This window comes from Homo sapiens, chromosome 17 (genome assembly GCF_000001405.40).
Source record: "Homo sapiens chromosome 17, GRCh38.p14 Primary Assembly".
NCBI lineage: Eukaryota > Metazoa > Chordata > Mammalia > Primates > Hominidae > Homo > Homo sapiens.
In genome coordinates this window covers 45,825,015-45,839,131 of record NC_000017.11, presented here as the reverse complement: position 1 = coordinate 45,839,131, position 14,117 = coordinate 45,825,015, and the positions used below count along the sequence as shown (strand labels likewise).

Sequence of the window (14,117 nt, the reverse complement as noted above, 5' to 3'; positions counted from 1 at the left end):
TGGCAGTTTGGATGAGCTGGCTCTGAGGTACCCCTGGGCTGGAGGCCAGCAGCACACTCCTTGGCTGGGGTGTAGGGGGGCCCACTGTGGCTGATGGTGGCCCCGGCTGCATTGTTTGAAATTAAGCATCATTTTAAGGAGCTGGGGGGTGGAGGATGTCAGGAAGCTGGGGAAGGAGATGCTGGATCCACAGAACTCTCATTGCTCGGCGGCTGGACACTGGTGGGGCCATCTTTGGGGAAGTCCCATCTTCACGTGGGGCACGTCCCAGATCACGGAGACCCTGAGGCCTCCTTGCTGCCCTCTTGCCACAGAGCTCTTCATTGGTTCTGGCCTCCCAGAACCCAAGCCCCTTCAGTTCACTGAGGGGTGAAAAAAGCCTTAGACTTGGAACCAGACCTTCAATCTTAGGGGAGCTGCCAGGCCTCAGTTTCCCTGGCTGCAAAACAGGTGGGTTACTACCTCTGTGGGCTAGTTGAGGATTACCCTAGAACTTAAAGTATAATAAAAATAAACAAATAAAGACACACACACACAAATATAGAGATGTGAAGTGGGAAATCAGGGGTCTCACAGCCTTCAGAGCTGAGAGCCCCGAACAGAGATTTACCCACGTAGTAAAAAAAAAAAAAAAAAAAAAAAAGACAAATGTTATAAGGATGTTTGTGGATGGCAAAGTAATCTACAATACCCACAATGAAGGTATTATTCTATGGATTCCAAACCCACCTCATCTGCTAACACATGGTTTTCCCCATCTGACTCTCCACCCAGTCCTGGTCCCAGGAGAGCTGAGCCATCAGTAGCAGGGGGCTAGAGAAGGAGGCCTGGAGGGGAGGCTGAGGACCTCTGGGCAGGGGCTGTGCTGTCACACTAAGGGACGGGGAGGGGGTGGCCTGAACTGGAAAAACAGTGGGGCTTTTCCTCCACTACTGTTCTGTGCCCATGAAGGAGGACGTCAAGGAGAAATGGGCTCAGGTGGGGGTAGCATTAGGGGACCGCAGCCTTTAGGCATGGTGTGGAGAGAAATTCTTCCAGGCATGAGGTCTTCCGGGTCTGGGAGGGCCTCCAGCGACCTTCCCCCACCACTGCAGCTTGGAGGGTCCCCAGTGGCTCCCCCAACTTTGTGTAGTCGCATGTGTGTTTTTCGGCTCATCACACCCCACTCACTCCCACAGGGGCCTCGCCACCCCAAGCTGAACCTGAGCAGAATGGCCCAGATGCCTGGTCTCAGGGCTGCCTTCTCTGCGACGAAGCCCAGAGCGCATGTCTGCCATGGGAGATGATAGAACTCTGGGCCTCTGGGCTGCAGGTTCTGAGGCTCAGATGTTCCTGGCTGTTCCCTGAAGCAGCCCCTCCGCCCTCAGATTCTCTCAATGGGAGGGGAGCCCCAGGCTCCATCTGCCTGCCCAGGGATTCCGCCTCCAGCTTCTCCGATGACCCTCAGACTTGTCTTGGAGCTGTCCTCTTGGTGGCCTTCCAGAGCCAGAGGCTCTGAGCTTTGTGTTTTTTGGGGGGTCCCTGGGGTCCCCCCTGGGTGGCTGCTCATCTCTCACCCAAGACCTAGCACAGTGCTGAGCACACAGTAGGTGCCCAGAAGGTGCCTGGCAGTGAGAGCAGCCAGGAAGCCCACTCAGGAAAGCGGGGTGCGGCCTGGCTGGGCTTATCCACACTTCCTGGTCTGTACCGTCCCTTCCCTGTCTTCCCCTCACCCCCACCCTCTCGGCTCCTCCACCCCTGCGGTGCGACCCTCATCCCATCCCCACTGGCATTGTCTCGGGAAAGCCTCGCCTTCTCACTTCTCCACCTTCACTGGGTGAGAGGCAGAGTTGGGAAAGCTGTCTCCGTTGTGGCCATTAGAGACTCAGGTCACTTCTAGTCTCTCCAGGCAGCCAGGACCCTTTACTGGGCTTCTTCCCACTCCCCACAATATCCCCCACGTTGCTCTGGAAGCCTCCAGCCTACCTCTGTCACGGTGCTCCCTGGGTCCCCCACCCCATCTCTCTACTTCAGGGCACAGAGCTTGGAGAATTGGCAGAGCAGAGTACCCCATAGGGCCTTCAAGGATATCCTTAGCTACACCCGGGCCCAGGCCCTCCCCAACGAAACGTGCCCTCCCTCAGCAGGAGCTGCGGGGCTTTCGGCACTGTGTCACCTTTGTCTGTTCCTGGTGTCCTGACACTGCAAGCTCTTGTGTGCGCCTGGGTGCACAAGTGCACATGTGTATACACACGTCCCACCCACGGGGCTCTCCTCCCTGGTTAGAGAGACCCAGAGACAAGGCCCGGGCTGCAGTGGGGCCCTGTGTCCAGTTCTGGTGTTCCACCCACACCCCCTGCCCCTCCAATGCAGCACACACTGGCTTCCACCCACCCGCACATCACTGTGCCGGAGAACTCTCTCTGGCCCTCTGTAGCCTGATGTGGGAATGCAGAAGAGTTCATGTCCCCCTGGGAGCAGCCCTCAACCCGCAGCTGATGGGAGATGGTGGATAAATACCCCAGCTCCCTCACCTGTTGGGTGGGATGAGGGAGGGCTTCCCCAGCGGAAGGGAGCTCCAGGCGCCCACAACAGTGTTGGAGTGTCAGTCCTGCCCCAGAGGCCACCCAGGGCTATACAAGCTCTGGCCCGGAGTTGGGGGCACTGAAGCCAGCAAGCCAGGGGAGCCTGAGTGTGCCACCCACCTCAGAGCGGCACTGGCCAGGGCTGGGGCATACCTGTCTCTTGCTCACAGGCTACCGTGTCCCCCTCTAGCCCCCACCTTTCCCCTGCCTTCCTTGCCTGGCTTCACTCCCTGTTGCCCTCTCTGTACTCCCCTTCCCTCGAGTTTGCACAAGAAACCTCAGGGTCTCAGGGATGGCTTCTTGTGGCGGCCCTAGTGGAGACAGCTGCATTCACAGCCTGTCCAGTGGCCCAGCATCCTAATTCTGCTTCCCACCAATCAGCACAGCTCCTGCCTGGGGCTGGGACACACTCCCGTCTCCTTTGTTCCTTCCCCTGACCCATGGTGTCCCTCCTCTGCATCCCTAACCGTGGCCCTCCTCTCCCTCTAATTCACCTCCTCACAACAAGCTGTCCCTAACTAAGGGGGCCCTGGCCAGACCCACCTGTTCCTCGAAGCCCTCCCTCCTGCCCTCACCCCTCTCCCGGCCCTCAGGGGCTCTCCTGGCACCATCCTTGCCGGGGTGAGAGTGGGGTCAGGTTTCTCAGCAACACAGCAGCCCCTGAAAGCTGGGAAGCAGCCCCCACCTCTGTGAGACACCCTCTCCATCCAGCCCCCTGTGGAGTCCAGGCCTTCACAAATGCTGGTTGAAAAGATAAATATTATTTATACCAGCCACCCGCCTCACAGCCGACACCCTCATCTTCTAGTGCCCCCCAAAGCCCTGCCCTGGCTGTCCAGTCCCTCTGGACATGGGCAGGTCAGTGGGGGCTGCGGCCGGTCCACACCTGGAGTGTAAGCAGCACGTTGTCCCAAGAGCCACTTGGGCAGGGGTCTTCTCCTGGCTTGCTTAGCTAGTGGTCCTGCCCCAGAGGCCATCCAGGGCTACAAGCTCTGCCCCAGAGGCTGGGACTGGGACACCCCTGGCTCTTGCTCACAGGCCACTCTGCCCCCTCCAGCCCCCATCTTCTCACAAAAGAGGAAAAGGAGCAGGAGGTGACTGGTATGGGGTGGTTAAGTGAGGGGAAGCTGGCCTGGCCTGCAGGGTACTAAATGTTCAGGGTGAAGGCAGCAAGGCAGGGCATTGCTGGTGGCAGTGCCACAGTGCCAGTAAGGTTCTGGAGGCCTGGGGGGGTGACTCTAGTGCTGTGGCCGCAAGTCTGATGATGACACCTGACTTCTGTCTCCAGGGTTCCTGAGTGAGGGCCCTTGGTTCCCAGTGGTGTCGGAAGGCATCACCGAGGTCCAGAGGCGTCATCGTGGTGAGTCAGAGGCTGTCACGAGTTGCCCATGATGCCCCAGGGCAGCAAATGGCCTCCCCACGGTTGCCGAGGGCAGCCCCAGGGCCCAGTGGGCTGGCCTTCTTGTGCTCTGGGAGAAGACAGCCTTGGAGGGACATGCGTGCTGCTGTAGGTGTCCAGCGCCCCATTTCAATTCATTCCCATGTCCCTTCTCCAGGGAGGATTGGGCAGGGAAGCCAGAGGCCCTGGGCCCGGCCCAGTCCTGTAGGTGACTTTCCACTCATGAGCTAGAGTCCTGCACGGCTGCAGGGGGAGAGCGGCCCCCCCAGGCTGTCAGTGCCAGCTGCTCCTGGGGGAGTGGGCATGAGACCTAACAGGTCACCTCCACAGGCAGGGTGGTCAGGGAGCCTGGCCGTCATCCCCCCAGCCACAGCTCTTTGGGGGCTGCTCCATGACCTGCCAGCTCAGACTGCTGTGGACTGCTTGATGCTGTGAAAGCTGACACGGGTTGGGGAGGTGGGGATGGACATGGCACGGGCCACTCGGGCACGGATCGAGTGCTTGTCCTGCCACCGGTGCCACCTCTTCCGGATGGCAGAACGGACCTGTGGGCACAGGGAGGAGCACGACATCTGAGCCTGTGGCTCAGGACCCCCTCCCTCCCCTGGGCCGCCACGAGCAGCTGTGCAGGTAAGCGGCTGTGCAGGTCAGCTGAGTACATGGAAGTCCTCAGTAGGGGATGACACTCACAGCCTTAACACGACTGCTTTGCATATTTGTCGGAACAGGTTTCTCAAATGTCCTGGGGAAGGGGCACCCTTTTCTAACCCACACGAAGGCACCATATGCCCTTTGCCATGAAGGCTCCCTGCCCTCAACCCACATGTATCCCCTGCCCAGGGCTCAGCCCTTCCTGGTTTTCACAGGCTCATCAAAGATACTGGAGCTCTGGCTTCCAGCCTGGTGCCAGCGGCCTCTGAGAGCAAAGGAGGGGGCTGTCACTGTGGGAGTGGACAGGTGGGAGGGGCCACCCTGGGGCTCCCAGCAGCATACCCCTAGGGACCTAGGAGCAGGGAGGGAGAGAGGCAGCCCTGGGAGGGGAGGAGAAGGCTCTAGACAATCGCCAGTCCCAACAGGCCTCACAGCCCTGAACCCCGCTGCAGGGCCCCCGGGTCCTCACCTCACTATTGAGGAAACAGTAGAACACAGACACAAAGAAGCCCTGGGGAGGAGAGAGGAGGCGTCAAAGGTCGGCTGCAGGTGTTGCCCACCCAGCCTCTGGGCTGCCCCTTGCTTCTCCCTGGCCTCCTGCCCTCCAGGCCTCTGCTTGGCAGAATCCCCACCCAAGGAGGTGCTGATGTGTCCCTCCAGGGCTGTACCTGGAAGGATTCCAGGAAGGAGTTGAAGTAGATGAAGACGACCCGGGAGACCTCATCCTCCCCGGGATTGACGAAGAACAGCATGTAGGTGATGCCCAGGAGGGGCAGCAGCACCAGAGTGGCTTTCACAGCCTTCCTGGGGTGGGGCGGGTGGGGAGGCTCGGAGTCACAGCCCACCCCAGGACGGGCTGCCCGCTGGCTCGGCAAAGAGGGCCAGGTCGGGGGAGGGAGTGGCAGGTCTCTGGCACGTGAGAGGCATGGGGAGCAGGGGTTTCATCAGGGGGAGGCCTGAGGAAGGTGGTACCCGGTTACCTGTACTGAATGGTCTCAGACGTGGTGGATGCCCGGAGCTTGGTCATGAGGATGCGGACGATGTTGAAAAGGAAGATGAAATTGATCTGCAATTTGAGCACACCAGCGGGCCGGAGTGTGCAAGAGGCTTGGGACCCAGGCTTCTCAGCTCTGGCCTCAGTGCCCCTGCTGTTCTCCCTCCTCCTCATGAGCACCTGCACATCTCTGACCCATGCCCCCTCTTTGGGTGGCCCCCACCTCTAGGTAGAGGAGTCCTTTCTGTCCACGGTTGGCACTGATTGCCCCTCCCCACTGGGCCCTGTCTCCTGCCCCTACCCAGGTTCTTACCAGCAGGACCAGGATCATGGGGCCCTGGTAGATGTAGTCGGTGTACACCCCAGGCCTTTTGCCAAACCAGCACCTAGAAGGCCACAGAGGAAAGGGGAGGAAGGGTCATCTGCGTCCACCTCGATGGCATGGGGAGGGACAGTGCTTGGCCAGGACAGGACTGGGGCTGGAGGCCAAGAGGTAGATGTCCCAATTCCAACCCTGGCAGAAGGTCAAGTCACTTGATCCCACTGCCATGCCTCAATTGTCCCATCTGCAGAACGGACAGCATCCTCTGTGATGAGATGCAAAGTTGGAAGCAAGCACCGGGGCAGGAGGTAGACAGTGGGAAAGACTGAGTGGCTGGGAACGGGCATGGGCCCAACACGAGGCTGCATCCTCGGCTCCTCCTCACAGTCCCCTGGCAGTGGCTGAGGCCCAGCATGCCCTCTGGGGGGCTGCTGGTGGGAGTGGCACCACACCTGTCACCCAGTGGGCACCCAGCAGTTCGCAATCTCAGCCTGAATCTGTCCAGTCACAGCCTGAACAACCTTGAGAGGAATACTTGCACAGGTTCTACCTGCTGCAGGAGGTAATTGCTTTGCATTTTCCCGAGTGTCCCTCCAGCAAGCTCCAGGGAGGCCTGGGGAGTGGGTGGGGACCAGACAAACTGGAAGCCCTTATGTCCTCGTGGGTATGAAGACCCCCAGTGGCTAGATCTCATAAGCCAGAAATTGAGATTTGTAAATGAAACCTTTGGATTTTTTAAAGGTTGGCTACAAAATCGAGTTTTCAGAAAACACCATGCTGGCCACACACAGCTTCTGAGGGCCGGGTCCAGTCCTCGGGCCTCTGGTCTGCAAGTTCGTTTCTGGTTTCTCACACCCAGATCCTCTCTGTTGCAGTGTTGAATTCTCACCACCAGGTGGAGCTTCAGAGCCGCTCAGACTCACTTTCTCCTTTAGCCCAAACAGTTTTTGTTTTGCTTTGTTTTTTGAGACTCATGGAGTCTCACTCTGTTGCCCAGGCTGGAGTGCAGTGGCACGATCTTGGCTCACTGCAACCTCTGCCTCCTGGGTTCAAGAGATTCTCCTGCCTCAGCCTTCCCGAGTAGCTGGACTACAGGTGCGCACCACCACACCCAGCTAATTTTTGTTTTTTTGTTTTTTTTTTAGTAGATACGGGGTTTCACCATGTTAGCCAGGCTGGTCTCAAACTCCTGACCTCAAGTGATCCGCCTGCCTCGGCTTCCCAAGGCCTCAGCCAGCCTGAGTCAGGAGGGAGTCAGGAGGGAGTCAACCACATAAACACGCAAGATAATCTTCCAGGCTCCTCTTTCAGCCCAATGAAGCCGTGCAGGCCCCCTCCCCTCCATGGGGGAGGAGAGGGCTTGTCACTGTGGTGGAGGCCACTTGGACGCCAGGTCCGTCAGTCAGATAGGTTCCCGGGAACACTTGTTTGGCAAAGAAGGTCCTGGGGCTCCCCTGCCATCCATGTCCACCTTTTCTGCCCCGCTCTCTCTCAGTGGTTCTCAATCTGAGCTGCACATTAGAATCACCTGGGCAGTTTTCAAGACTTCTGGGTGCCAGGCCACACCCCAGACCAATTGCGCCTGATTCTCTGAGGGTGAAGCCTGGGCATTGGTACTTTTCCAAGCATTCCAGGTGATTCTAATGTGAGCCAAAGTTGAGCTCCACTGCAGCAGAAATCAAGTTTCCAGGCACGATTGGAAACATCTGAGTCCATTTCATAAGGAACCAAAGAACTTCAGAGCTGGAAGAAGCCTCTGAGATCATCTAGGTCCACTTCTATTAAATTCATGGACTCTTTTATTAAGATGTCTTAATATTAATAGAACACATTTATATAGCATTTACTCTATGTGCCAGGAGCTATTGTAAATGCTTAATATAGATGGACTCATATCACCCCACAACAGCCCTTTGAGGCAGTAGCATGTCCATTTTACAGATGAGGAAACTGAGGCACACTGCAGTAATCTGTCCAAGGTCACACAGCTATTTGAACCTGGGCAGTCTGGCTCCAGGCTGCTTCCTGTGTAAGCTCAAGGCAGATAAAGGAGGCTGGGTCCTGCTTGTCCAGCCCCACCCAGGCAGAGCACAGGCAGGGACCCTCTGAATGAGTCCAGCCCCCAGATCTCTCCCTTTATAGATGCAGAAACCATGGTCCTGAGGGGAAAAAGCCAGCATGGCCAATGCCCGTGGGGAGTGTCACCAAGCTGGGCTGGGAGCCTAAACCTTGGGGTCAGGAAGGGAAAGGAGATGACTTACTTCTCATTGTCGTAGTACAGCTTCCCAATGGCCCAGGCCACAATGATGGGGAAGGGCACACCTGGGGGAGAGATGGGCTGTCACAGAGCCCTCAGCGGGGGCTGGAGGATGTGGGCCTGGAGAACCCCAGTGCAGCCCAGGCTCCAGGGGGTCTGGGGTTACTCAGGGTGGATCTCAAACTCACACACCTCCTTCAAGGTGCTTCTACTGCCGCCCACCCCCAAGAGGAGCAGAGGGCTATCGTGCACACCTTACCGCCCCAACCCGACCTCCATCCCTCAGGCCCCCCAGCCCGCTGGCCTGAGTCTGGAGGAGAGGGCAGCCCGGCGGCCGCCACTGCCCAGGCTGCGGAGGTGGCTGCCCAGCTCACCCCAGCCAATGCAGATGAACATCCATTTGCGCAGCCGGTCAGTGGAGTAGGTGAGCACGATGGCTGTGTGCAGGTAGCAGCCCTCGCCGAACATCCAGAAGAAGTTGGTCACATGGAAGTAGTTGTAGGCGGCTGTCACCAACCTGCACCAGCCCTGCCACCCCACCCCCAACCAGAGATGATGATGGGGGGCAGGGGAGGCACCAAACCCTGGGCCTGGGCCTCCCCAGGGCAGGACAGGGCATACCCTGGGATCCCACTCCTGTTCTGTGGGCTCCTCCTCTGCAGGGCAGGCGGGCCCCTCCTCTGACCTGGGTTTGGCCTGACCTGCTCCCCGCTCCCCTGCCAGGACGTACCACGTTGCTCTGGTGGACCTCGGGGCTCATGGTTAGCTGGACCACGAACCAGGTGGCGTTGCGCAGGATGAAGGCGGAGATGAGGTTCCAGTGGATGATGTTTCGCAGGCACCGGATGCTCCTGGTGCAGCAGGGCGGGTGGATGATGGGAGCGATAGGAGAGAGAGGATGAGGGGTAGGCCACCTCCATCACCCCAGCCCAGATGTGTAGATGAGGAAACTGAGGCACAGGGTGGGGCTGACTGGCCAAGTCACACAGGGAGGTGACAGCCAGGCTCTCCTAATGCCCCATGGAGCCCTTCCTGCCTGCAGCCCACCCAGACATAAGCCCCAGGCAGAGCCTGGCACTCCATGGAGCCTGTGCTCCATGGACCAGGGCAGCTGGATTCCTGGCGATGCCCGCTTCCCCTGGGGGTGCCTTCTACTCCCTGCCATTCCAGGATGGACAGTCACAGGGGTCAGCCCTGCTCCCAGCCTCCAGCCCTGATGCTCGGCTCCTGATCCCAACCATCCCCATCCCCGGCTCTGCCACCTGCATCCTTGGCGGTAGTGCTGGGGCCCAGGTACCTTCGAACCTGAAATGGGGCACCACTCCATGGAGCCCCCACCTCCAGGGCTCCATCTGCCTGGTCACCCCAATGGGTGCAGCCTGGCCTGGGTATGGGTGACATAAGACAAGTTTTGTCCCTCCCCACCATTCCAGCAGCTACTGGGGAGAGGGCAGAGCGGCTCTGCCAGAGGTTCCCAGAGACCTGAGACTCTCAGATAAGCCAGCCCCTGCCACCCTCTCCCAGCAACCCCCACCCCAACCTAGAGCTGCTCCTCTCACTTCTCCACCCTGCTTCTGCTCTAGGTCCTGGGGACAGGAGGAGGCAGTGCTGGGGTCTTCTCACCTGAGCCGCAGAAAGAGGACAAAGGCCACCAGGAGGGCCACCAGGGAGATACAGTGGCCCAGGTAGTTGATGATGACTGCGACATGGTAGTGCACCTTGCTTTTTTTCTGGAGCAGGAGAGAGGGGCAGAGGTGAGCCTTCTGCTGGATGGGAGCTGCTCTGTGAGGACATCGCCTAGGGGTGGCTGGGATGGAGCGGGTCATGATCTCAAGGGCCACTCCCCCTTCCTGAGCATCTGCTGAGGGTCAGGCCTCGCTGCAGAGCAACGCCGTCCAGTTTGAGGCTCTGCTTGTCCCTGAATCCCATGCTGTGTTCACTGCTCCGTGTTGTGTCGAACTGAATCTCCACATCACGTGGGATTCCCCACTCCACATGGACCCCCCGCCCCTGCATGCACAAGCACATGTGGCCGGCTCACAGGTGCGCCCTCACACTCGCATCTACCCATGCTGCCACCCAGTCAGAACACCAGGTGGACCTCTCAGCTGCAGAGACACCAAACTCCCGGGATTTCTCTTCTCCACCCATTTCTGAACTGAGTCACCACCTTCTCAGCCACCCCTAAATCCCTCCTGCTGCAATGCCGCCTGCTCCTGTGAGCAAGGAGGGGCCGGGCAGCTGCTGGGCTCTGGCATCCACAGAATCAGCAGAAACCACAGAAAAGTCTCCTTAGGCTCCATAACTCACTTTCCGGGGCCTTCCCCATCCCTGGCCCAAGGGGATCTGTGCAGAGTGAGCAGGATCCTCTCCCAGGACTGTAACACATTCCCCGGGTTTATTTCTTAATGAATTTAATATACTGATGGAGGTCACTGCCCTCCTCTTTACAGCAATCTTGAGTTCCAAGAGTGGTGAAGCCTTCCTGTTTACAGAGGATTTTCATATCTGTTATCGTCTTAAACCATCAGGGCAACCCCGTGGGGGGAGCCGGAAAGGCATCTGGGCTTTATTTTGTAGGAAAACAGCACAGAGGTTATGCTGACGCGCTGGAGGTCGCGCAACTCCAAAACCACCTCTTGCCTGCACATGTAGATTGGCAAGATACGAAGGCTGCAAACAGGTCCCCAGCCCATAATAGGGGACTGGTCAGTCCCCATGCCCAGCTCTCTGCAGACTCCTGCCCAAGAGCACAGCCCCCATCCACACTTTTATAGGTCCCAAGAAGCAGGGCCTAGAAACCAAGAGCTTGACACGCAGTCAAACTCCAAAGCAGTGTGTGAGTGAAGGAAGGAAAGACGGGTGTTGAAAAGCAGGTGACTTTGAGAAGGGAGGGGTCCCTGGCAGCACCTCCCTTCCTCCCCGTTTCTAGGCTCTAGGGTGGGGCTGAATGATCATGAGGCACAAAGGTGGGTGACATGCAAGTGCTGAGAAGCACTGAGCTCACAACGGCCCTCATCATCTTCTCAGAGCCACCAAGGAGCTACTGGCCACCAAGGAGCTACTCCATAGGCCTTCCTGTTGGAATTACAGAACCCACTTGAAACCAGAGATCAAGTCCAGCCCTATCCACCAGGCATCCCAGGAGAAGCCAAGACCCTATGCCCAGTTCCGCCCGGCCACCAAGGCCCTTCTGAAGGAGCACCCTCATTGGGGAACCTCTCCAGAGGCTGCTACAGAAGCTCTGTTCTTGGAGCTGGTTTCCAGGCAGAGGCTTTCTGGAACATGGCAGGTAATTACATTAGCAACTCCAGCCTCCAAAGGACTGGGATCCAGGGAGGTGTAAATGAAGGCAGGAGAGACAGAGACAGAGAGGGGAGTGAGGAGAGGGTACCTATCACCCGTGCAAGTGGGGAGGGTCTCTGAGCGCCTGGCGGCAGATGCCCCAATCCGGAGGCTCTGGAAGATATGCACACATCACAGGCTGTCTGGAGCTGGTATTTAATATCCTTTTATTAAATTTTCCACAAATCCATGCTGAGAAGCCCCTGGGTAATGACAACATGTGTGGAGCCGAGCATGGCACAACACCCCGGCCTTGTTCACAGGCCCAGGCTGGGCGGGAGGAGCGCAGTGTGCAGGGAGACCCTTCAGTGCTGCCTTCCAGGGCCCCTGCCTCACTCCCGAGTCAGGCCGTACCGGGCCCTTGGGGTTGGAGTGGGGAGGAGTTATCTGTTAAGCACCTGCTGTATGCTGAGCACTGTGCCAGGAGCTCTGCAGACACTACTGCTTTTCTTTCCCACAGCTGCCCTTGGAGACTGCTCCTCTCATCCCAGTTCTTTCCGTAGAAGAGACTGAATAATTGGCCACGCCACGCAGCCGGTATCTGGAACCTGGGTCTGCCTGGCTTTAAGCTCCCTCTTTTCCCTGTTTCCCAGGGACATTTCTTTTTTTGGGTGGGGGAGGGATGGAGTCTCACTCTGTCGCCCAGTCTGGAGTGGTGCAGTGGCAGGATCTCAGCTCACTGCAGCCTCTGCTTCCTGGGTTCAAGTGATTCTCCTGCCTCAGCCTCCCGAGTAGCTGGGATCACAGGCATGCACCACCATGCCCAGCTAATATTTTGTATTTTTTGGTAGAGATGGGGTTTTGCCATGTTGCCCAGGCTGGTCTCGAACTCCTGAGCTCAGGCAATCCACCTGTCTCGGCCTCCCAAAGTGCTGGGATTACAGGCGTGAGCCACCGTGTCCGGCCCCCTGCGACATTTCTTGGGGGACAAGCAGGAATTGAAAGCAGAGGCACTCTCTGGGGTGGTCTCACGCCACTTTGGGCCCAGGAGCCTCGGGGGACCTCCTGCTGGGACAATAGCGCCCAAGAGGGCTTTCCTCCAAGAGCCTGAGGGAGAATCAGGCCAAACCATTCCCGGGGGACAAAGTCTCAGTGTGCCTCCCTGAGCAGTCGGGCCTGGGCCGGGTTCAAGCCCTGTCTCTCATCGGCCACATCAGCATCATGCAACCTGAGAAGACAGCTGGAGAGACAGCCTGAGGGATGGCTGCTGATACCCTGAGACAAATACATCCTGCGACACCCAGACAGAAGCCAGTGACACTGTGACATTTCCAATAACAACCAGAGTTCTGGCCAGCATTATTTAGAGAGACAGCAAGGCCTTAAGAGGCACCCAGGAACACCCTGAGAGGTGGCCAGTGATACCTGGAGAGGAGAGTCAGCAGCACCCCCAGGGACAGCCAGTGACACCCCGACCGATGGCCACGATAACAGCAAAGCAGCTGGGATGTCCGAAGGACAAATGGGCACAGCTACCCCTCGGGCCCTGACCAGCACTCCATCTCCATCCAGTCTGGAGACCTAAGACCAGCAGGCACCCCGCCCTAAGGAGGGTGGCACAGCGTGGTACTTGGCAGAGGCCACTCCGCTGTACCCTCAGTGATCTGAATTGAATAAGCAATTTGTGCCCGGCTGACTCTGACTGGACTCTCTGCAGGACACCACCTCGTCCCAGGCGCTGCAGTGCCAGATCCGTCCTGATGCCTCTCTGGGTTGGTGGCAATGAGACCTCCCTTCCAAGCTCCCCACTGGTGCCCACTCCATTCTGGCACGTCCTCTCCACCGAGGCTTCCAGAGCTACTCCTCTTACCCTGCAGTGGGCACTCACTCCAGCCCCTCGATCCTCAAAGGGTGGCCCCTGGCCCAGCAACAGCACGCAGAGGAGCACGCAGAGATCTTGAGGAAAGTGGAATGTATGCCCTACGCCAGGCCCATGGAATCGGAGCTTGGTTTTAGGAAAAAGCACCTCTGCAGTTCAGAAGCCCTGGTCCAACCACCACTCACCTCTCCCCACACGGTGAGCAGTGAACCTTGGTCCACAAACCAGACCCCCAGAATCCGTTTCATGTCCCACCACGGTGTGCTCTCCCAGGCTGTGCCTGAGGCCCAGGCTCCTGTGCGCAGCAGAACGTGGGGAAAGGGGATAGAGTGTGTGCAAGTGTTGGGTGGGTGGGGGAAGGCTGGACGGTGGGGAAGGGAGTGAACAGTAGTAGCGGGAGGTGGTGGGGGGAGGAGAGGGTGCTGATACAGGCAGCAGGTGTAGGGGTGGTGCTGGGGGCTCAGTGCCATCCCCCGGCCAGCCATGCATGCAACAGTTGGGGGCCTGTCCCCTGGTGGTGCTGGCTGCGGGCAGATCTCCTGGGGTGCCTGGCCTTGAGGTGCCCTTGCAAGTCCCATTTCACAGGCAGACTTCTGCGAATCCATTATCTGCGATACCCCAGGGCGCTGGAGCTTAATTAGGGCTTAGCCCAGGCCCAGAGCTGAGAAACCTACCACTCAATTAATTGGATACTTTCCTCTGCAGTTCTGGGAGGGGTCTGGCGAGGCTGGGGGCTGGCAGAAGGGAATGGCATTTTCACTAATTA

General features: G+C 58.3%; 2 protein-coding genes across 8 annotated transcripts in view; both read right to left on the bottom strand.

Moving 5' to 3' along the window:
• Positions 3,304-14,117, bottom strand: part of LINC02210-CRHR1 (LINC02210-CRHR1 readthrough) — a 215,483-nt gene continuing 204,669 nt past the window's right edge. Inside the window, exons 7-15 of one of the 2 annotated variants that reach the window (NM_001256299.3) lie at positions 9,811-9,917; positions 8,918-9,038; positions 8,562-8,715; positions 8,192-8,252; positions 5,922-5,994; positions 5,595-5,680; positions 5,283-5,418; positions 5,084-5,125; positions 3,304-4,508 (exon numbers count right to left, since the gene is read on the bottom strand). In NM_001256299.3, coding sequence (NP_001243228.1) covers positions 4,368-4,508; positions 5,084-5,125; positions 5,283-5,418; positions 5,595-5,680; positions 5,922-5,994; positions 8,192-8,252; positions 8,562-8,715; positions 8,918-8,947 — 723 coding nt within the window. In that variant the 5' untranslated portion in view covers positions 8,948-9,038; positions 9,811-9,917 and the 3' untranslated portion in view covers positions 3,304-4,367. The remainder of the gene's footprint in view (positions 4,509-5,083; positions 5,126-5,282; positions 5,419-5,594; positions 5,681-5,921; positions 5,995-8,191; positions 8,253-8,561; positions 8,716-8,917; positions 9,039-9,810; positions 9,918-14,117) is intronic. The other variant, NM_001303016.1, reaches the window with a different exon arrangement.
• Positions 3,304-14,117, bottom strand: part of CRHR1 (corticotropin releasing hormone receptor 1) — a 51,509-nt gene continuing 40,695 nt past the window's right edge. For 4 of the 6 annotated variants that reach the window (NM_004382.5, NM_001303020.2, NM_001145147.2 and 1 more), the window contains 9 exons: positions 9,811-9,917; positions 8,918-9,038; positions 8,562-8,715; positions 8,192-8,252; positions 5,922-5,994; positions 5,595-5,680; positions 5,283-5,418; positions 5,084-5,125; positions 3,304-4,508 (listed from right to left, as the gene is read on the bottom strand). In NM_004382.5, coding sequence (NP_004373.2) covers positions 4,368-4,508; positions 5,084-5,125; positions 5,283-5,418; positions 5,595-5,680; positions 5,922-5,994; positions 8,192-8,252; positions 8,562-8,715; positions 8,918-9,038; positions 9,811-9,917 — 921 coding nt within the window. In that variant the 3' untranslated portion in view covers positions 3,304-4,367. Of the gene's footprint in view, positions 4,509-5,083; positions 5,126-5,282; positions 5,419-5,594; positions 5,681-5,921; positions 5,995-8,191; positions 8,253-8,561; positions 8,716-8,917; positions 9,039-9,484; positions 9,572-9,810; positions 9,918-14,117 lie in introns of all 6 variants that reach the window. The other 2 variants (NM_001145146.2, NM_001145148.2) reach the window with 2 other exon arrangements.